The sequence below is a fragment of the Homo sapiens genome, chromosome 13 (assembly GCF_000001405.40).
Source record: "Homo sapiens chromosome 13, GRCh38.p14 Primary Assembly".
NCBI lineage: Eukaryota > Metazoa > Chordata > Mammalia > Primates > Hominidae > Homo > Homo sapiens.
Window position 1 is genome coordinate 98,060,779 of NC_000013.11, and position 22,227 is coordinate 98,083,005.

General features: G+C 45.0%; 2 long non-coding RNA genes across 5 annotated transcripts in view, besides 3 other annotated features; one reads left to right on the forward strand and one right to left on the reverse strand.

Moving 5' to 3' along the window:
- Window positions 722–1,318: an enhancer, noted in NCBI's record as "H3K27ac-H3K4me1 hESC enhancer chr13:98713754-98714350 (GRCh37/hg19 assembly coordinates)". NCBI's record gives its function as "activates a minimal SCP1, AML or CMV promoter by ChIP-STARR-seq in primed H9 embryonic stem cells {active_cell/tissue: H9 hESC(primed)}" and the evidence as "EXISTENCE:reporter gene assay evidence [ECO:0000049][PMID:30033119]".
- Window positions 3,111–3,706: an enhancer, noted in NCBI's record as "H3K27ac-H3K4me1 hESC enhancer chr13:98716143-98716738 (GRCh37/hg19 assembly coordinates)". NCBI's record gives its function as "activates a minimal SCP1, AML or CMV promoter by ChIP-STARR-seq in primed H9 embryonic stem cells {active_cell/tissue: H9 hESC(primed)}" and the evidence as "EXISTENCE:reporter gene assay evidence [ECO:0000049][PMID:30033119]".
- Window positions 3,707–4,304: an enhancer, noted in NCBI's record as "H3K27ac-H3K4me1 hESC enhancer chr13:98716739-98717336 (GRCh37/hg19 assembly coordinates)". NCBI's record gives its function as "activates a minimal SCP1, AML or CMV promoter by ChIP-STARR-seq in primed H9 embryonic stem cells {active_cell/tissue: H9 hESC(primed)}" and the evidence as "EXISTENCE:reporter gene assay evidence [ECO:0000049][PMID:30033119]".
- LOC105370328 (uncharacterized) overlaps window positions 5,534–22,227 on the reverse strand; it is a 77,599-nt gene continuing 60,905 nt past the window's right edge. The window contains exons 1-4 of one of the 4 annotated variants that reach the window (XR_931669.3): window positions 14,509–14,725; window positions 14,175–14,304; window positions 6,179–6,268; window positions 5,534–5,635 (exon numbers count right to left, since the gene is read on the reverse strand). This is a non-coding gene — a long non-coding RNA (uncharacterized LOC105370328). Of the gene's footprint in view, window positions 5,636–6,178; window positions 6,269–14,174; window positions 14,726–18,215; window positions 18,285–22,227 lie in introns of those variants that run through there. The other 3 variants (XR_001749971.1, XR_931668.3, XR_931670.4) reach the window with 3 other exon arrangements.
- LOC107984566 (uncharacterized) lies at window positions 12,417–14,695 on the forward strand. The gene is made up of 3 exons (XR_001749972.1): window positions 12,417–12,567; window positions 14,063–14,192; window positions 14,630–14,695. It is a non-coding gene; the product is annotated as an uncharacterized LOC107984566 (long non-coding RNA).

Genomic DNA, 22,227 nt, shown 5'->3' on the forward strand with positions numbered 1-22,227 from the left:
TGAAAGGTAAAATCTTGCTTCTGAGGACTAAGCTCGAATTTTTTTATCTTGCCCAAATTTCTATCTAAGGGGTCTGGGCGAATCATGCCCTACAAACCATAAATTCTCATCAGATGGGTTTTATTTGACCCTTTATGTCGTGACCTACTTTCCAATCTGACTCTGGAATAACATTATGAGACAAGGAAAAAAAATCAAAATATTTCATCCCAAAACATGTTTCTCTGCCACATCTTGAAATGGCCCTGCAAAGCTGTCCTTTGTGGGGGGAAAATCTGCATCTGTAAAGAATCTCTATTAACATAGCTAGATCTTTTTCTTCCAGGCCCTCCCAATCCTGAAGAAATGAACTAAAAGTCTAGCACTTTTTAAAGATCTGAATAGGAAACACTTGTCATCTCTTGTCTCTAAGGGCAGCCACTATAAAACTTCAAAAGAACCTTGGTCTCCACAATCTTTTATCTTACCCTGAACATTTCCTTTCTATAGATCCCAAGACTTTAGACAAACTCAACCAATTGTCAGCCAGAAAATGTTTAAATTTACCTACAGCCTGAAAGCCTCCCTCCACCAACACCCCCGCTTTGAGTTGTCCCACCTTTCTGAACCAAACCAATGTATTTCTTAAATATATTTGATTGATGTCTCATGCCTCCCTAAAATATATAAAACCAACCTGTATCCCGACCACCTTGGGCACATGTTCTCAGGGTCTCCTGAGGGCTGTGTCATGTGCCATGGTCACTCGTATTTGGCTCAGAATAAATCTCTTAAAATATTTTACAGAGTTTGACTCTTTTCATCGATACTTCCTTGGAACAGAAAGAAGGAAAAACACAGCAGCAAGAGATCAACGCAAATTAAAATTGCTGTAAATTATCCTGGTGTGGTCCTAAAGGGTTGCTGATAGGATCCCTAAGCTCCGTGAGAACTACCCCGTTGACGTGAGGCTGTCAGGAGTGATTCCTTGGGCTTAAACCGAGAACGCACGTTCTGGAAAGGAGCCGGGAGAGCTGGCCAGAGAGGTGTTGGAACCCTTGACAGCATGGTTGCCATTCTTGCATGTTCTCTGTTTCATGCGCATCCATGTGAAGGGACCACCAAACAGGCTTTGTGTGAGCAATAAAAGCTTTTAATCACCTGGGTGCAGGTGGGCTGAGTCCGAAAAGAGAGTCAGCAAAGGGTGGTGGATTATCATTAGTTCTTACAGGTTTTGGGATAGGCGGTGAAGTTAAGACCAATGTTTTGCAGGCAGGGGTGGATCTCACAAAATACATTCTCAAGGGTGGGGAGAATTACAAAGAACCTTCTTAAGGGTGGGGGAGATTGATTACCAAGTACCTTCTTAAGGGTGGGGGAGATTACAAAGTACATTGATCAGTTAGGGTGGGGCAGAAACAAATCACAATGGTGGAATGTCATCAGTTAAGGCTATTTTTACTTCTTTTGTGTCTTCAGTTACTTCAGGCCATCTGGATGTGTACATGCAAGTCACAGGGGATGCGATGGCTTGGCTTGGCTTGGGCTCAGAGGCCTGACATTCTATAAGAAGAAAAATACAGTTTTTAAGAGGCCAGTAAATATACCAGCCTAAAGACAAATATATTTTTTCTATTTTTTAAATAAAATAAGTATAGGCCGGGCGCGGTGGCTCACACCTGTAATCCCAGCACTTTGGGAGGCCGAGGTGGCGGATCACCTGAGGCCAGAAGTTCGAGACCAGCCTCGCCAACATGGTGAAAGCCCATCTCTACTAAAAATACAAATACTAGTCAGGTGTGGTGGCGCACGCCTGTAATCCCAGCTACTCAGAAGGCTGAGGCAGGAGAATCGCTTGAACCTGGGAGGCGGAGGCTGCAGTGAGCCGAGATCATGCCATTGAACGCCAACCTGGGCAACAAGAATGAAACTGTCTAAAAAAAAAAAAGAAAAAAGAAAAAAAGTATATTTTAAAGAATAAGTCAAGGTAACAGCTAACTATAATAATCTCAAAAAAAGAAAAAGAAAAAAGAAAAAAGTATATTTTAAAGAATAAGTCAAGGTAACAGCTAACTATAATAATAGCTAAAAATCCGCTGCTTTATGAATTTTCTCTGAGAAAACTGTTGTTTTGTTAGGAATATATTATTGCAAATAGAAAATCATTACTAACGTACGGTTATTCATAACTCTTATTTTTGAAGATATGACCAGCATTTTAGATATTTATTATGATACAACCATTGTGATTTATCAGATTAATAATACTAGACATTCAGATTGCTAGCATTTCGTTAAGGACTTTTGTTTACATTCATAAGGATATTAACCCCTTTTTTTCCTCGTAAAGTCCATCTGGTTGTGGTATCAGGGTAATACTGGCCTTATCTAATCTTACTAAGATCTTCTTGAGAATGTTGAGGGTTTTTTCCTTTTTCGTTTTTTCTTTCTCTCCTCTCTTTCTTTCTCATGAAAAGGCAAAATTACAACAAATTTAGTTTTAGATCTTACTGGCTTCTATTTGCAATTCATGAATCCAGACAGCCTCCAATCTACAAAATAGACCGGGAGCTCCCACCAGGAAATGGCAGGTTTTTAAGTGTGGAACAAGGAAACAGAACAATAGAGGGAAAAAACGGATCAGTTAACATCAGGTTACTTTTCGGAAGGGTTACAGCAGAAGGAACTTCCTTATTACTCAGGTAGACTGAAATCTCTTGTTTTCAGGAAAAACTGATCTGTTCTGGGATCTGTCTACCTTCTTAGAGCTTCAGTTTGATTACGTGGCATTTAGCCTAAGTGACTCCATTTGCTTTGGTCTGGTGGATTGAGGCTTCATGCAGGAGCTCAGTCCAAGAAAATAAGACTATAATCTCCCCTCCCCTCCCCCTCTCCTCCCCTCCCCTCTCCTCCCTCTCTCTTATCTTTTTTTTTTTTTGAGACGGAGTCTCGCTCTGTCGCCCAGGCCGGACTGCGGACTGCAGTGGCGCAATCTCGGCTCACTGCAAGCTCCGCTTCCCGGGTTCACGCCATTCTCCTGCCTCAGCCTCCCGAGTAGCTGGGACTACAGGCGCCTGCCACCACGCCCGGCTAATTTTTTGTATTTTTAGTAGAGACGGGGTTTCACCTTGTTAGCCAGGATGGTCTCGATCTCCTGACCTCATGATCCACCCGCCTCGGCCTCCCAAAGTGCTGGGATTACAGGCGTGAGCCACCGCGCCCGGCCCCTCTCTCTTATCTTATCAGGCAATCAACACAACCCAGTTAGGCTCACCTGGAAGTTCTGTCTGGCTTTCTGTGGATAGTGATTCCTGTCTCCTTTCAGTTTTCAAAGGCTGCAGTGTTGTTTGGGGTCTGTCGCATGCCTAGGTAGCTCCGAGGGGAGCTCAGACCTGTGTGGTTTCATATTCGGGATAAGGGAACCCCTTTTACCCGCTTTCTTCTATGATTGTCTCCACCTTCTTCAGCTGACAGGATCCCTCATCCCCCTGCTCCCAACTCCGGTGCCCAGAAACATGGGATTTTTCTGAGTGTTGACTTCTCGTTCTGCCCCTAACAGAGCTCTGCCACAGATGTTTGCCCCTGGCGCAAAGCCATGAGAGAAAGGAAAAAAACAAAATGGAGATTCCAGCCCCCTTTCCTCTCCCACACACATACACACACTCTTCAGACAGCACGGGCCACTTTTCTAGATGACTTTGGCCGAAATACCGGGAGTCCCTCTGAGTTTAGTCCCACAGCTCCATAACTGGAACTCACCTTCAAGGCAAAGCCATGAGAGAAATGAAAAAAAGAGAGGGGGAGAAAAAAAAATCTGGCAAACTCATCTCCACGTTTCGAGCCCCCTCCACAATCACGATCTGCCTGCCTTTTTTTTTCTTTCTTTTTTTTTTTTTTTTTTGAGACAGAGTCTCACTCTGTTGCCCGGGCTGGAGTGCAGTGGCACAATTTCGGCTCACTGCAACCTCCGCCTCCCTGGTTCAAGTGAGTCTCCTGCCTCAGCCTCCCGAGTAGCTGGGACTACAGGCGCATGCCACTACGCCTGGCTAATTTTTGTATTTTTAGTAGAGATGGGGTTTCACCATGTTGGCCAGGATGATCTCCATCTTTTGACCTTGTGATCTGCCTGCCTCGGCCTCCCAAAGTGCTGGGATTTTTTTTTTTTTTTTTTTTTTTTTTTTTGAGACGGAGTCTCGCTCTGTCGCCCAGGCTGGAGTGCAGTGGCGGGATCTCGGCTCACTGCAAGCTCCGCCTCCCGGGTTCACGCCATTCTCCTGCCTCAGCCTCCCAAGTAGCTGGGACTACAGGCGCCCGCCACTACACCCAGCTAATTTTTTGTATTTTTAGTAGAGACGGGGTTTCACCGTTTTAGCCGGGATGGTCTCGATCTGCTGACCTCGTGATCCGCCCGCCTCGGCCTCCCAAAGTGCTGGGATTACAGGCGTGAGCCACCGCGCCCGGCCAAAGTGCTGGGATTACAGGCATGAGCCACCACGCCTGGCCACCTGCTTTTCTTTACTTTGCAAAGTCCTTGGAAGGTTGCATTTGTTGATGAAAAGGGTCAAACTCTGTAAAATATTTGAAGAGATTTCTTCTGAGCCAAATTTGAGTGACCAGTGGCCAGTGATACAGCCCTCAGGAGATCCTGAGAACACGTCCCCAAGGTGTTTGGGATGCAGCTTGGCTTTATAACATTTTAGGGAGACATAAGGCATCAATCAATACTTTTAAGATATACATTGGTTCAGTTAGGACAGTCAGGGCCACTAGAAGGGAGGTGGGGCTTCCAGGTCATAGGCAGATTAAAGATTTTCTAATTGGCAATTGGCTGAAGGAGTTATCAATAAAAAGGATTGTTTGGCTTAGGATATGGGGTTGTGGAGACCAAGGTTTTATCATGCAGGCGAAGCCTCCAGGTGGCAGGCTTCAGAGAGAATAGATTGTAAATATTTCTTATCAGACTTAGAGTCTGTTCTGTCAGTATTTTCAAAAGGGAGGAGGGTATCACAAGGCATGTCCAGCTCCCCCTTCCCATCATGGGCTGAACTAGTTTTTCAGGTTAACTTCATCTGTTCAAATGGTTGGGGGGTCTTAGAATTTTATTTTTGGTTTACAGCTTTTGTACTCTGTCCAGACTTTTTGCTATTGTTGGTGGCAGAGATAGGTCGTATAGGCTCACTCCATCTTGGCTGGGACCAGAAGCCCGGCCACAGGCTGTGATCTGCTGGCAACTCTATTGCATTTGGCCGATATGCCGGCAATGTTGAGGACCTGGTGGCACTGACTAACCTGGGAAGAATCTGAGTGGTCACAAATACTCTTGTTTTTTTTTTTTTTGGTTTTTTTTTTTGTTTTTTGAGAGGGAGTCTTGCCCTGTTGCCCAGGCTGGAGTGCAATGGCATGATCTCGGCTCACTGCAACCTCCGCCTCCCAGGTTCAAGCAATTCTCCTGCCTCAGCCTCCTGAGTAGCTGGGATTACAGGTGTGTGCCACCACACCTGGCTAATTTTTTGTATTTTTAGTAGAGACGAGGTTTTACCTTATTGGCCAGGCTGGTCTTGAACTCCTGACCTTGTGATCCACCTGCCTTGGCCTCCCAAAGTGCTGGGATTACAGGTGTGAGACACCGAGCCCGGCCCCACAAATGCTCTTTTACCTGCAAGTCAAGGAAGGAAGTTCTTTGTATTGAAACATGTCACAGAAAAGCTCTGTCAGACAAACTTCTAATATTCAAACTTCTAAGTCATGTTTGAGGGTGTTTCACCTTGTAGTTGAACAGTTGCCTTTCCTACAAAGCTCCCAGGCTCATAAACCACACTGATATGGCTTGGCTGTGTCTCCACCCAAATCTCATCTTGAATGGTAGTTCCCATAATTCCCACACATTGTGAGAGGGACCCGGTGGGAGGAAATTGAATCCAGCCACGTGGAACTATGAGTGCATTAAACCTCTTTTTCTTTATAAATTACCCAATCTCGAGTATGTCTTTATCAGCAGTGTGAAAACAGACTAATACACACACCCTCCTTTCTAAGGGACATAGCCCAAGTTTAGCAGGAACCCACCACTTGTGAGGGAGGCTGTGTTTGGCTGTTGCCATTAGTCACCTGTACAAGAAAACTCCTAGGCCCTCTTTCCTTCTGGCAGAGCCTCCTTCACTACCTTCCCGTTGTGGAAGTGAAAATACTTGTTACTTACCTGCATCCTCATAATAAACTCTATTCTTCTTGAAGTCACTTGAGTGAATCTGTTTCTTCCAATGAAGAGAAGCCAACTAAAACAGGAACTCTGCACAATATAAGATGAGAAGAAACAGAAATAAGAGGCATTAATATTGAGAAGGAGAAACCGAATTAATGTCATTTACAGGAAATAATAGCTAACATTCGGAGCTTTCCCTATATGCCCAGCACACCATTCACACTTGCGTGTGTTATATCACTTAATCCTACAGTGCCTCACTGTGCTGTGTTGTGTTTTTGGGTAGTCACTCTGCTTCCTGGGATCATAATTCCATACCTAGAGAGGCTATTCTCCCAATTAGAGTCCACTAAAACATTGTACATTTCTCTAATTTTTTTTTCTTTTTTTTTTTGAGACGGAGTTTCGCTCTGTCACCTAGGCTGGAGTGCAGTGGCGTGATCTCGGCTCACTGCAATCTCCACCTCCAGAGTTCAAGCGATTCTCCTGCCTCAGCATCCCAAGTAGCTAGGATTATAGGCACCCACCACCACCAGGCTAATTTTTGTGTTTTTAGCAGAGACGGGGTTTCACCATGTTGGCCAAGCTGGTCTCAAACTCCTGACCTCAAGCAATACACCTGTCTTGGCCTCCCAATATGCTGAGATTACAGGCATGAGTCACCCCACCCGTCCTCTCTAAAATTTTTAAAACTAACTTTTTAAATAGTAAATGTGTAATATATGCTACTGGCAAAAAAAAAAGTTTAAAACTTTGCAAAAAGGTATTCAGCAAAATATTAAAGTACCATTATGATCCACCCCACCTTGCAAACAAGTTCTTTTCTATCTATCCAGTGAGGTTTCAGGCACATACATGCATTTATATAAATGTAACAGTTTAAGTGTAACTGGATTATTATTATTTTATTTTTACATAAATGGTATATTACTCATACTCTTCTACAACTGTACAAAGCAAATCTTAGCATATTTGGGCCAGCTTTCCATACAAAAAATTTAGATCTAATTTGTTCCTTTAAAAAGCTGTCTAGTAGGCCAGGCGGTGGCTCATGCTTATAATCCCAGCACTTTGGGAGGCTGAGCTGGGTGGATTGTTTCAGCCCAGGAGTTTGAGACCAGCCTGGGCAACATAATGAGACCCCATCTCTACAAAACATTTTAAAAATTAGCCAGGTGTGGTGACATGCACCTGTAGTTTTAGCTCCTGGGGAGGCTGAGATAAGAGGATAGCTTGAGCCTGGGAGGTGGAGGCTGCAGTGAGCTGTGACTGCGCCCCTGTACTCCAGCCTGCCTGGGCAACAGAATGAGATCTTGTCTCAACTAAATAGATAAATAAAGATCTGAATAGTATTTCACTGTCTGTGCATATCAGCACAGTATTTATTTTATTTTTACCAGGTCACTCTTGGTGGACATATAGATCGTGTTTTAGGTTTTATTGCTATCAATAATACTGCAATAAATATACTTTTAAAAATAGATCTTTGTAACACAAGCTGATTATGTGCATTTCAGAGTTCATAGGAAATGGCAAATCATTACAAATTTGTAACTGTTTCTATTTCACAGTTCACAATGAGCTTCCTGAAACAGACTGGACTCCCCTCAGTCTGAGAACCTCGGAAAGCTCTTCACAGGGAAGAGAACAGAGTCCACACTCCGCTACCTGCTGGGTGTTTGCCGTGCCCACTCCACACGGACTTGCCAGCACCTGCCCTCCCACCATGCACCCTGTTCTTCAGGAACGCGGGGCATCCTGCAGTTCCTTGATGACGTCAGAATATTTAGGATTCCATAGCTATGCACAGGTTTTACTCTCTGCCTTGAATTGCTTTCTCATTCTGATATGGTTTGGCTGTGTCCCCACAGAAATCTCATCTTGAATTGTAGCTCCGGTAATTCCCAGGTGTTGTGGAAGGGAATCAGTGGCAGATAATTGAATCATGGGGGCGGTTCCCCCATACTGTTCTCGTGGTAGTGAATAAGTCTCGCGAGACCATCTTCTTTTATAAAGAGAAACCCCTTCTGCTTGATTTTTTTTTTTTTTTTTTTTTTGAGACGGAGTCTCGCTCTGTCGCCCAGGCCGGACTGCGGACTGCAGTGGCGCAATCTCGGCTCACTGCAAGCTCCGCTTCCCGGGTTCACGCCATTCTCCTGCCTCAGCCTCCCGAGTAGCTGGGACTACAGGCGCCCGCCACCGCGCCCGGCTAATTTTTTGTATTTTTAGTAGAGACGGGGTTTCACCTTGTTAGCCAGGATGGTCTCGATCTCTTGACCTCATGATCCACCCGCCTCGGCCTCCCAAAGTGCTGGGATTACAGGCGTGAGCCACCGCGCCCGGCCTTCTGCTTGATTCTGAGTCTCTCTTGCCATCACCTCGTGAGGTGTGTCTTCGCTTTCTGTCATGATTATGAGGCTTCCCCAGCCACGTGGAACTGTGAGTCCACTAAACCTCTTTTTCTTTATAAATTACCCAGTCTCAGATATGTTTTTATCAGCAGTGTGAAAACGGACCTCCTTCTCACTCTTCAAGGGCCTTAATTCTTGTGAAGCCTTTTTTTAAATTTATTTTTTATTTTTTGAGACAAAGTCTCGCTCTGTCTGTCGCCCAGGCTGGAGTGCAATGGCGCGATCTCGGCTCACCGCAACCTCTGCCTCCTGGGTTCAAGTGATTCTCCTGCCTCAGCCTCCCAAGTAGCTAGGATTACGGGCACCAAGCGCGGCTAATTTTGTATTTTTAGTAGAGACGGGGTTTCTTCATGTTGGCCAGGCTGGTCTCGAACCCCTGATGACCTCTGGTGATCCACCCGCTTCAGCCTCCCAAAGTGCTGGGATTACAGGCCTGAGCCACCACACCTATCCGTGAAGCCTTTTTAAATTGATACTCCAGGCAAAATCAGTCACATCATCTTCTTTGTCCCCAGAGTTCTATCTACAGCCCTTGTTACAGTGTATTGTACTTACTGGCTTTAGATGTCTGTTCTACCACTAAACTATAAGTTCTCTGAGGCCACTTTTTATTTATTTTTGAATCCACAGTGTCTAAGCCTGTTGCAGGGCAGGTGGGAGCAGCTTGATAAGTGATTGCTGAATGAATAAGCAAACAAGCAGGGGAAGAGGAGGAGATCTTAAATATATCTGTTACAGTCTTGCAAATGGTTACTCAGAGCAAATGAAAATGGACAGCCATGCACAGCAAAGACTGTAGATCTAATTACCTTGTCTCTGCTAAATTGGGCTAGGAGGTTTAGCATGAATAAAAATAGTAGCAGATGGACTTATTTAGCATATACATTTTCCATTGGTTTAATGTGATATTCACACACTATTTTCTTAGTACACGTGCTATAAATAGAAAGCCCATAATTTGATTAGGTGTTAAATAAGTTACCATATCAATCCAGTAACACAGTGATAGTTAATAAGGTTACCAATTAATGTAAGAAAGAACATTTTTTAGCTGGATGTGGTGGCTCATGCCTGTAATTCCAGCACTTTGGGAGGTTGAGGCAGGAGGATCGCTTGAACCCAGGAGTTCAAGATCAACTTGGCCAACATGGTGAGAAACCATCTCTACAAAAAATAAAATATAAACAAATTTGCTGGGTGTAGTGGTGTGCACCTGCAGCCCAAGCTACTTGGGAGGCTGAGGTGGGAAGACAACTTGAGCCCGGAAGATTGAGGCTGCCATGAGCTATGATGGCACCACTGCACTCCAGCCTGGGTGACAGAGCAAAACCCTGTCTCGAAAAATAAAAAAATTTAAAAAAGAATTTTATATAAATATTTCCTATAATAGATTTAGATATTTGTGGCTGGGTGTGATGGCTCATGCCTATAATCCCAGCACTTTGGGAGGCCGAGGCAGGCAGATCACTTGAGGTCAGGAGTTCAAGAACAGCCTGCCCAACATGGTAAAACCCCATCTCTACTAAAAATACAAAAAAACAATTGGCTGGGAGTGGTGATGCGTGCCTGTAATCCCAGCTACTCAGGAGACTGAGGCAGGAGAATCACTTGAATCCGGGAGGCACAGGTTGCAGTGAGCAGAGATCGTGCCACTGAACTCCAGCCTGTGCAAGAGCCAGACTCCATCTAAAAAAAAAAAAATTAGATATTCGTAAATTTTACTAAGTACCTAATATGTCCTTGGCTCTATAGTAGCCTCTTTTGTGTCAAGTTAGTTATTATGACAAGCAGAGGGTTTAGTATTATTCCAATTTTATAAGTGAGGAAATAGGCTGAATATTTTGTCCAGCACCAAACATGCTACTTTGTACACCAAGAGACAAAAGTTTGGATGCAGATTTTCTGATTCCAAGTCCACTGCACTAACTATCCTGCAGTTGCCTTAAATGGCACACTTCCTCCACTTCTGAGAATTTTTACCTACTTTACTATGTGGTCGCAATATGGACAGATCTACTCTTCTAAGACACACAGAGCTGGTCAAACCCTGACACTAGCATAAATGCATCTGTGTGGAACCATTACACATATCTGAGGGCTGGTGAAACAGGTCAGTGTTTCCCAGAGATGATACCAGTAATGAGATGGGTGATTATCTCATGAAATAGGAGCCAGGAAAAATCATTTGTGTCTGTGTGAAATAATACAGAGCCAAAATTCTGTCTTCTTTTCTGGTAAATGGTATTTGTAAAAACAATTACTTCTAGTTAGAATAATGAAAATGAATTTCAAACTCTGTCAATTTCAGGTTATTTCACAGTCACAGGAAGAGAGATGACATTTAGGGTCCAGTACTTAGCAAGACTAATGTCAAGGATTTTGTTTTTGCTGTTTTTAATAAATCTTTTAAATGTTTTCCTAGAGGGAGAAGAGTGTTTTGTTTGTTTTGCTTTTTTTGTATAGATGGGGTCTTGCTATGTTGACTGGGTTGGTCTTGAAATTCTGACCTCAGTGATCCTCCCGCCTTGGCCTTTTTAAAAAAAGAATCATAAACAAACATCCAGAAAGACAGATTCCAACAAAGATTCCAACCAATCTTTGTTAGAAGCAAAGATTGATAGGTGAAATTTTGCAGAAGTCCAGTTAGATTTCTTCCTCGTAATAGCTGCTTGCCTCACTGTATGTCCATAATTAAGACTCCAAAGTAGTTACATCTTGTGAAGTCCAAGAATTGCAATTGTAATTATAAATTCTTTAAAAATATATCTTTGTGGCTGGGAGCAGTGGCTCATGCCTGTAATCCCAGCACTTTGGGAGGCCAAGGTTAGTGGATTGCTTGAGGACAGGAGTTTAAGACCAGCCTAGCCAACATGGTGAAACCCCATCTCTACTAAATATATAAAAATTAGCAGGGCGTGGTGTAGTCACACCTGTAGTCACAGCTGAGGCTGAGGCATGAGAATCACTTAACCCGGGAGGCGGAGGTTGCAGCGAGTCGACATCGAGCCACTGCACTCCAGCCTGGGAGACAGAGCAAGATTGTCTAAAATAAAATAAAATAAATCTTTGTGATTCCATTGTACCATGAGGAATTACAATTAGGAAAACCATGCAATTCTGACCTAAAGTCCAGATGCAAATTCAAGGAGCTGTTCCAGGAGGGAGGGTAACATTGCTCCCTTCATATCATTCCTTTCCACCATTGCTGGACTAGGATGAGCTACGGAGGTGTTAATGCTCTTAGTGGGCGTGCCAACTCTCAACTTACAGCCCCTGAGCTCCAAATCCACTTTTCATTGCCCTGTTTGTGATACTGGAACATTTCTCCCTGGCCAGCTGGCATGAGCTTAAGCCTTGTCAGTCCAGAGTGTTGGAGGAACACTGCAGAAGGAAGGCACTTGCTATGGTCTGAGTGTACTCCCCAGATTCATATGTTGGAACCTAATTCCCAATGTGATAGAATTAAGAGGTGAGGCCTTTGGGGAGTGATGAAGCCATGAGGGCTCCACCCTCATGGATGGGATTGGTGCCCTTATGAAAGAGGCTCAGGTAAACCTTCTGTTACGTGAGGATGCAATGGAAAGGCACCATCTTTGAAGCCAAGAGCCAACCCTCACAAGATGTTGAACCTGTTGGTGGTTTGATCTTGGACTTCACAGCCTCCAGCATATAGGCAGTAAATTCCTATTGTTTATAAATGACACAGTCTAGCATATTTTGTTATTGCAGACTGAATGGACTAAACCATGGATCTTTTGTTTGTTCTAGACACCCAGTGGTGCTCACCCTAGTGAGTTTCAGAGCCACCACCCCTCCAGTGGATTCCCGGTGATTTCCACATTTCAGCATCTCCCTGTAGGCAGTCATCTTTTTCCTGGTTCTCCAGTGGGCAGAGACTCATTGGGTTCCACCAGCGTGGAACCTTAGCAAATATCTCCATCACCCAGTGGGCATGGCTATACTGTCTTCAACAAGGTCTGGATCCCAGCCCTGGCTGGGGACGAGTTCCGTCTTCTGGGTTTCTTCCTTTCTTGGGTGCTCCGCCCCGACCCTGGAGATAGTGGCTGTTCCTTCCACTTCCTTTACCTATATTTTTCAGGGTTCTCTCTATCCCTTAGGAGGTAATCCTCTGTTACACTGAATCATTCTATACATTGAACTCCTCGTTTAAGTTACATGGTGGTTCATTTATCTTCACTGGATCCCGACTGACCCAGTGAGCTATACCCCTAATAATTCGTAGTAAAGGATATCATAGTAAAGGACGGAGTCTCGCTCTGTCCTTAGGCTGGAGTGCAGTGGCACGGTATCAGTTCACTGCAACCTCCACCTCCCAGGTTCCAGCGATTCTTCTGCCTCAACCTCCCAAGTAGCTGGGACTACAGGGGTGCACCACCACACCCAACTGATTTTTGTATTTTTAGTAGAGACAGGGTTTCACCATGTTGGTCAGGATGGTCTCGATTTCCTGACCTCGTGATCCACCCACCTCGGCCTCCCAAAGTGCTGGGATTACAGGCTTGAGCCACCGCACCTGGCGAGGGTTTTTTATATGATGACACTGTGTTAAGAACGTTACAAACATCTGATTTAATCATTTCAATAGCACTCCAATGTAGATATCATTATCTCCATTTTCAGATGAGGAAATTCAGGTTCAGTGTTGCCCAAGTAAGAAATGAAAGACCTGGTCTAATAGACTCAAGGCCTGTGCTGTTAACCACTGTAATCTGAAGAATTACCATTAAGGAGGCAATGCAGGCCAGGCGTGGTGGCTCATGCCTGTAATCTCAGCACTTTAGGAGGCCAAGGTGAGCGGATCATTAGGTCAGGAGATCAAGACTATCCTGGCTAACACAGTGAAACCCCGTCTCTACTAAAAATACAAAAATAAAATTAGCCGGGCGTGGTGGCAGGCACCTGTAGTCCCAGCTACTCAGGAGGCTGAGGCAGGAGAATGGCATGAACCCAGGAGGCAGAGCTTGCAGTGAGCCGAGATGGTGCCACTGCACCACTCCAGCCTGGGCAACAGAGGCTGGAGTTTTTTTGAGACTCCATCTCAAAAAAAAAAGAGGAGGCAATGCAATCTTGACCTAAGGCATAAGTGCCAATGCATGGGTGTGGTCTCTAGTAGGCAGAGATGAACATGCCACTTTCATCCACAGCTGAAGTCACACGTTTTCTTGGATAAAACATAAATAAATTCAATTGGCTTCCCTCATAAGTATTCAGTCGGCTCTAGGGTAAACTGCCTTCTTTGATAGTTTTCAGCCAATCAACTTGTCCAAAGACAAAAAAATAAGGGCAATCTCTGGTTGGTCCACAGATAGTCTGAAGTTTTTATTTCATAAACCTTCCCTTGCCATTGTTCAGTGACATTTGATTTATAGGTGATTGATTGCCCTAGTATACAAGTAAGTTTCAGCTAGGCTTCTCACTAAACTCACTCGTCTGAATTATTCTTTGACAGTTATTTCCGGAGGACCTACTGAGATCTGCTCACTGGAATGTATTCATAGGAGCCTACAGAGACATGCAGTTTGTGAGCACGCCTCATCGGGACCCCGTGGGTCAGAGCTTACCTTGTCTGGGTCCCTCTGGTGAGTATCATTTTGTAACACTTAAGCTCTTTGGATCTTGGGTGCTGATTATACTTCCTGGCCAAGTCTAGTTCTTCTGTGTCCATGTCCATCTTGTGTGGGGACAGGGGAGCTGCCAAACAGATCAAATCATGACAATTCTCTGGAAGTGTGACTTTTGAAGAACCCCAAGGCCATCTTCTCCCGCCAGAAGCTGATAGGCTGCTAGCTTTCATAGCTACTGGGAGCCCCAGACTTGGTTTTCAAGACTACTACAGTTACAGAGAAGGGGTGGGAATAGGGCAAATTAAACTGTCACAAAGATCATAGTTCTTACCAACATTCAACTGGTTTTCTTGAATAAACACTCCTTGGATCATCACAAGCCTTTGATTAATTTCCAGAGTTCTGAGAAAGTTAATTTTGACATTTTTGACCTGTGTTCTCATCGCTTTTAGGGAACAGGAGATTTTTGGAAATGCTAACTCCGTTATTCCAAAAGTGCTTTTGTGTCCGGAATTTGTGGGTTCTTGGTCTCACTGACTTCAAGAATGAAGCCGCAGACCCTCACGGTGAGTGTTACAGTTCTTAAAGGTAGCGTGTCTGGAGTTTGTTCCTTCTGATGTTCGGATGTGTTCGGAGTGTCTTCCTTCTGGTGGGTTTGTGGTCTCGCTGGCTCAGGAGTGAATCTGCAGACCTTCGCGGTGAGTGTTACAGCTGTTAAGGCGGCGCATCTGGAGTTGTTTGTTGCTCCTGGTGGGTTTGTGGTCTCGCTGGCTTCAGGAGTGAAGCTTCAGATCTTCACAGTGAGTGTTACAGCTCATAAAGGCAGTGTGGACCCAAAGAGTGAGCAGCAGCAACCTGTATTGCCAGGAGTGAAAGGACAAAGCTTTCTCAGTGCAGGAGGGGGACCTGAGCGGGTTGCCACTGCTAGCTCAGGCAGCCTGCTTTTATTCCCTTATCTGGCCCCACCCACATCCTGCTGATTGGTCCATTTTACAGAGAGCTGATTGGTCCGTTTTGACAGGGTGCTGATTGGTGCATTTACAATCCCAGAGCTAGACACAAAAGTTCTCCACCTCCCCACTAGATTAGCTAGATACAGAGTGTGGACACAAAAGTCCTCCATGTCCCCACTAGATTAGCTAGATACAGAGTGTCGATTGGTGTATTCACAAACCCTGAGCTAGACGCAGGGTGCTGATTGGTGTGTTTACAAACCTTGAGCTAGTTACAGAGTGCCCATTGGTGTATTTACAATCCCTTAGCTAGACATAAAGGTTCTCCAAGTCCCCACCAGACTCAGGAGCCCAGCTGGCTTCACCCAGTGGATCCTGCACCCGGGCCGCAGGTGGAGCTGCCTGCCAGTCCTGCGCTGTGCGCCCACACTCCTCAGCCCTTGGGTGGTCGATGGGACTGGGTGCTGTGGAGCAGGGGATGGTGCCTGGTCGGGGAGGCTCAGGCCGCGCAGGAGCCCACGGCGGCGGGGGAGACTCAGGCATGGCAGGCTGCAGGTCCCAAGCCCTGCCCCGCCAGGAGGCAGCTAAGTCCCGGCGAGAAGTCGAACACAGCAGCTCTTGGCCCAGGTGCTAAGCCCCTCACTGCCTGGGGCCGGCGGGGCCTGCCGGCCGCTCACAGTGCAGGGCCCGCCAAGCCCACGCCCACCCGGAACAGCCCCGGTTCCCGCCCGTGCCTCTCCCTCCACACCTCTCCGCAAGCTGAGAGAGGTGTGGCCAAGCTCCCGCCTTGGCCAGCCCAGAAAGGGGCTCCCACAGTGCAGAGGCGGGCTGAAGCGCTCCTCAAATGAGGCCAGAGTGGGCGCCAAGGCTGAGGGAGTGCTGAGAGCGAGCGAGGGCTGTGAGGGTTGCCAGCACGCTGTCACCTCTCACTTTGACAAAAAGGTTTAAGTAAATCCTAAATTTGAACCCCTTAATTTGACTAACAGTCTTTCTAAATAAGTACAGCAGAAAACAGCACAAAACAAAAATAACAGAAATCTGCTGTAAATTCCACAAGAATTGCTGTATCTTGCCCGAGGAGATTTTCCATTGTATGAGTATGAAGCTATGTTTCTAAACAGATACATTAGTAGTATTATATACAAAAAATAACTCTGGCTCCCACCTGCATGTCCCCCCACTTAAGAATCCCTGGGCTCAATGCCTGTGAAGACCCTTCCCTATATGAGCATGTTATAACTCATGACACATGTCACATAAAATCCACTGCAGTTTGCATATTGACATGTGTGCAAATTCCAATATGAAGTGTTTACAACCTTAAGTCCAAGAATTTGTGGGAAATAAAAACAAGTCAGAGAGTCACATGCCCATTTGTATGAGAGATTCTGCTTATCTGACTATTCTTGAACCCCTCTATTTTTTCCTAGTTTTAATAGTTTTGTTTCTATCTAGTTGTTATCCTCATTAAAATTACGCATGAATAGAATTTCCTCAGTTGAATAATCCTGTGAGGCTTGATCTGCAAAATGGCCAGGCACAGTGGCTCCTCCCTGTAGTCCCACCGCTTTGGGAGGTTGAGACGGGATGATTGTTCGAGCCCAGGGTTTCAAGACCAGCCTGGGCGACAGAGCAAGACGCCATCTCTACAAAATATAAAAAATTAGCTGGGTGTGGTGGTACGTACCCATAAGCTTATTCGGGAAGTTGAGGCAGGAGGATCACTTGAACCCAGAGGGCTGAGGCTGCAGTGAGCTATGATTGTGCCACTGTACTACCTCCTGGGTGACAGAACAAGACACTGTCTCTAAAAAAAACAAAAGAAAGAAAGAAAAAAAGAAAAGCAACCATCATCCCATTCTACCACCAATTTTTCACTCTGCAGGTACCACTACTTTTAACTCTTTTAACTAACTTTGACTGATTTTTATTTGTATTTTTCCCTATTTCCTTAAATAACACACTTCTCTTGCTATTTCTTGTTTTTTAAACTTTAGGTATTACCTAATGGCTTCCTGCTATGGAATATGAGGAGATAGCTTTTTCTCCCTCACATCCCCGTGTCCTCATCCTTCTAGTAACGCAATATTGTAATTTTGGTTAGAACAATAGCCAGTGTTCCATTACTAGGACTATGTAAATACCATTGGTAGATAGCTATATAATATACTTTGAAATTTTCCTTTCTGACCCAATGTTGTATTTTCTCTGGAACTAATAATTATCTTCTGAATTATTAGCTGAATTTTCTTTATTCTTACCACTGATTTATCTCCAAACTCTCCCCAGTTTGTATAAATCTCCTCTCAACATTTCCATTTTTCTTTGTCTTCCTTTTTCCTTTCCTTCTTCCCTTTTTTTCTTGACAGAGTCTCGCTCTGTTGCCAAGGCTGGAGTGCAATGGTGCAATCTCGGCTCACCGCAGCCTCCGCTTCCCGGGTTCAAGCAATTCTCCTGCCTCAGCCTCCTGAGTAACTAGGATTACAGGCACGTGCCACCACACCTGGCTAATTTTTTGTATTCTTAGTAGACACAGGGTTTTTCCATGTTGGCCAGGCTGGTCTCAAATTCCTGACCTCAGGTGATCTACCTGCCTCGACCTCCCAAAGTGATGGGATTACAAGCATGAGCCACCATGCCCAGCCCTTCCCTTTCTTTCTCAAAAAAAAAAAAAAAAAAAAAATCTCAGTGGGAGTCTTCTGATATGCTCCAAACCACACCAGGAGATGTCTGGGCCAGCTGCCATCATAGGCTCTCTTTTGACCGTTATCCTGGGAGTTCTTTTATCTTTCTCTTGGGCTGGAACCCCACATTTTCTCTTTTCTGGGTTCGCTATTATTTTGGTAGAGTGTATCTTACACGAGCTTTGTGAATAAGTTTTACAGAAGGTAATTGTTTGAGGCCTAAAAATGTCTAGATTCTGTCCTTCTGCTTGATTGATAGTTGAGCTAGGTACGAGATTCTAAAATCTTGTTTAGGAACCTGAAATCACTCCATTCTTTGCCTACAGTTGTGAAATAAATACCATCGGAGGAAAGTGATCATTTCACAACCCTTCCCATTCTTTCATCTTCCTTCCCCTCACCTAATTTTTCACTGTTGTTGCACTGAAGATGTGAACAACGATGTTTGGCACTGAAGCCAAATAAACCAGAAACACCACACTGCCGTTAGACAAGAGAAGTTTGCTGTGTACCCAGCACTGTTGGGAGATGCAGAGAAGCCAGAGGTGGTATTCTCATTCACAGAAGACACCTAAGCATAGGAACAAATGCACAACGTCATCAGAAATAAGCATCATTAATCGCATGTTTTCTCTGTGTGCAAAAAAGGCCTAATGCCCCCCATAGCTATGGGCCAGTGGATCAGGAATTTTCTAGAAGTGACAACGTTTTTACATGGATTCATTTCTTACAATTCAGAGTTCCGTTTATTTGAAGTAGAGCAACAACAAAATGCTCAAAGAATGAGATCCTATAGTATCAACTGTACACAGCCAGACAGGACAGAGCCCCTCAAGAGTGGGCTTGGAAATGGCTCAAGAAAGCCTCACCTGATATACATGAAGCAAGATTGGTTACAGTTTTGTTTGTTTGTTTGTTTGCTTGCTTGTTTTCTGAGACAGAGTTTCACTCTTGTTGCCCAGGCTAGAGTGCAGTGGCACGATCTTGGCTCACTGAAATCTCTGCCTCCTGGGTTCAAGCGGTTCTCCTGCCTCAGCCTCCCAAGTAGCTGGGATTATAAGTATGTGTCACCACACCCAGCAAACTTTTTTTTTTGTTTGTTTGAGACAGAGTCTGTCTGCGATGTCCAGGCTGGAGTGCAATGGTGCGGCCTCGGCTCCCTGCAACCTCCACCTCCCAGGTTCATGCGATTCTCTTGCCCCAGCCTCCCGAGTAGCTGGGACTACAGGCACACATCACCACGCCAGGCTGATTTTTGTATTTTTAGTAGAGATGGGGTTTCACCATATTGGCCAGGCTGGTCTCGAACTCCTGACCTCAAGTGATCCACCCACTTTGGCCTCCCAAAGTGCTGGGATTACAGGCATGAGCCACCGTGCCCGGCCAACTTTTATATTTTTAGTAGAGATGGGGTTTCACCATGTTGGCCAGGCCGGTCTCAAACTCCTGATCTCAAATGATCTGCCTGCCTCCGCCTCCCAAAGTGCTAGGATCATAGGCGTGAGCCATGCGCCTGGCCGGTTAAGTACTGATAAATTAGATGGGTGACAGGTACATGAGAGTCTATTAATTTTTCTCCACGTAAGTTTCAAAATTTTTTATAGGTAAAATAATGTTTGAAGAGGGAGGAGGTAAGAAAGCTTCATCCAAGTGTTCTGCTTCACTTATCAGCCTCACTATTAGGAATTATTTAGTAATTAACTGTCATAAACTCCTCGTGTTGGCCAAAAATATTCATCCAGTCCATGGTAAATTTTCTGTGTGGCAAGACTCACCTCTGCCTTTTCAAACTTGTGTGCACACACTATACACATATACTCACAGTCATTCACACACACTCACACCTCCCCACTGCACTACCGCCCTCAGGGTGTCGTTTTAGGCACTGTGGGAGCTCTCCGGCATGGCAGAGAGATGACTAGAAGCACAGGCAGGAAGTACATGCACTAACACCTTTGGCAAATCCTGTCTTCCCCAGGCCTCCGTTTCTGCATCTGAAAGAGGGGTCATTGCCATAAGGACTAAGGATTTCTCCCATGATCCTCTGGTTAAATGACCTGCTGGGGCTATGGCCCATGGTCTTACTTGCATCTTGCTCTTCACAGTTGGCCACAGGCTAGAGCACATTGTTTGACAAGAGGCTGGACAAGTGGACCAAGAGAATGTGCTAGGTGCAGTGATGGGAATGGAGAGGGCTTTATCAAGGGATGCTTTCCTTGGTGATTTTGTGAATGTCTGTGATGGCAATGATGGTCTTCTGAAAATACTGCAACTAAGAATTAAGAAAGCCTCAAATGGTCGGGTGTGGTGGCTCATGCCTGTAATCCCAGCACTTTGGGAGGCCAAGCAAGATGGGAGGATCACTTGAGCCCAGGAGTTTGAGACCAGCATGGGCAACATAGTGAGACCCTGTCTCTACAAAAATAAAATAAAAAATTAATCAGGCATGGTGGTGTGCTCTTGTCATCTCAGCTACTTGGGAGGCTGAGGTGGGAAGATTGCTTGAACCTGGGAGATCCAGGCTGCAGTGAGCTGTGATCATGTCACTGCACTCCAGCCTGGGTGACAGAGCAAGACCCTGTCTCAATAATAAGAAAACAAAAAACAAAGCCTCGAAGTGTTTAGAGTCCCATCACGTGTCTACCTGCACTGTCTCTCTGGCATCTGTTCACTGATTTCTTTTCCTTCTTCCCCATAGAGGAGCTTGAAGTGTGTTCTGTACCTACTCACTTAGAGCCTGGTCTAGAGCCCCATTTGATGTTGGGTGCCAGATCCAGCCATTCATATCCACCAGTTTACCTCTGCATAAACTGGTGCCTGTGGCAAAGGACCCACCCATGTGCAGAAAGGTTTAGCACAATCTTATTGGTAAAAGCAAAATCACAGAGTTGATTTCCACCTACAGGGAAATGGTAAATCACATGGGTCCACTCACACTGTGGTCTTGCGCTGCTTAAAGGGCAGGTGCTGCTGTAAACGTGGATGTATTGAGTGAGGCTATGTGAAATGAGCTTCTACGTGTAAACACAGGGACTCAGGTATAATAATACAAATATCTAATATTTATCAGTACTTGTAATATGCCAGGCTCAGTTCCAAGCACTTTATATGTATTAACTCATCTAATTCATGTTCCCACAACCCTATGAGGTAGAATTTTTCATTTTTCTTGTATTTCTCTTATTTTGCTAAGAGCTATGAGGTGTTTTGTTTTTTTGTTTTTTGTTTTGAGACAGAGTCTCGCTCTGTTGCCCAGGCTGGAGTGCAGTGGCGCGATCTCGGCTCACTGCAAGCTCCGCCTCCCGGGTTCAAGCAATACTCCTGCCTCAGCCTCCCGAGTAGCTGAGATTACAGGTGCCCGCCACCACCCCCGGCTAATTTTTGTATTCTTAGTAGACATGGGGTTTCAACATGTTGACCAGGCTGGTCTTGAACTCTTGACCTCGTGATCCACCCACCTTGGCCTCCCAAAGTGCTGGGATTCCAGGCGTGAGCCACCATGCCTGGCCAGCTATGAGGTATTTAATAGATATTAATATCCCTTTTTTACAACTGAGGAAATGGAACTTGGTCAATGTTGCACTGATAGTGACTGAGCCAGGATTCAAACCCAGCCCTGATGCAGAGCGCTGCATCGAACCACTGAGCACACACACACACACACAAACACACACACACACACGCACACACAAACACACGCACACACACAAACACACACAAACACACACAAACACACATGCATGCACACACACACAAACACACGCACACTCACATGCATAGAACATTTCTGGAAGGATGTAAGTATCAGTGGCTACCTTGAGGGAGGGTGGTCTTAGCGGGTGGGTGACTTAAGTAAGAACAAAATATTTATAATTGAACACCTTTTGGTATTATGTATCCTTTTTAAAAAAATAATAGGCTTTTCGTAGATTTTAAAAAGTCACATGGTGTGAAGAATAAGACAGGAGCAGTCACATATCACATCCATGAGTCTAATGCACAGAATATTTCTCTTTTCTTGGCCCTCACTTTTTACCTAAAACTCCTAGACAGTTTGCCATTAACCTTAAATCCTAATATAGATTGAACATTTGTGTCCCTCCCAGATTCACGTACCGGATTCCTCCCAGGGTGGCAGTATTAGGAGATGGGGACTTTGGGGACTGATTGGGTCATGACGGCAAAGCCTCATGAATGGGACTCGTGCCCTTATAGAAGAGGGCCCAGAGAGCTCCCTTGTCCCTTCTACCATATGAGGACACAGCTAGAAGGTGTCTGTGAACGCCTTGATCTTGGATTTCCCAGCCCCCAGAACTGTGAGAAATAAATTTCTGCTGTTTATAAGTCACCCATTCTATGACATTCTGTTTAGCAGCCTGAACAACTAAGACAAATCACTAAAAAATAAAAATT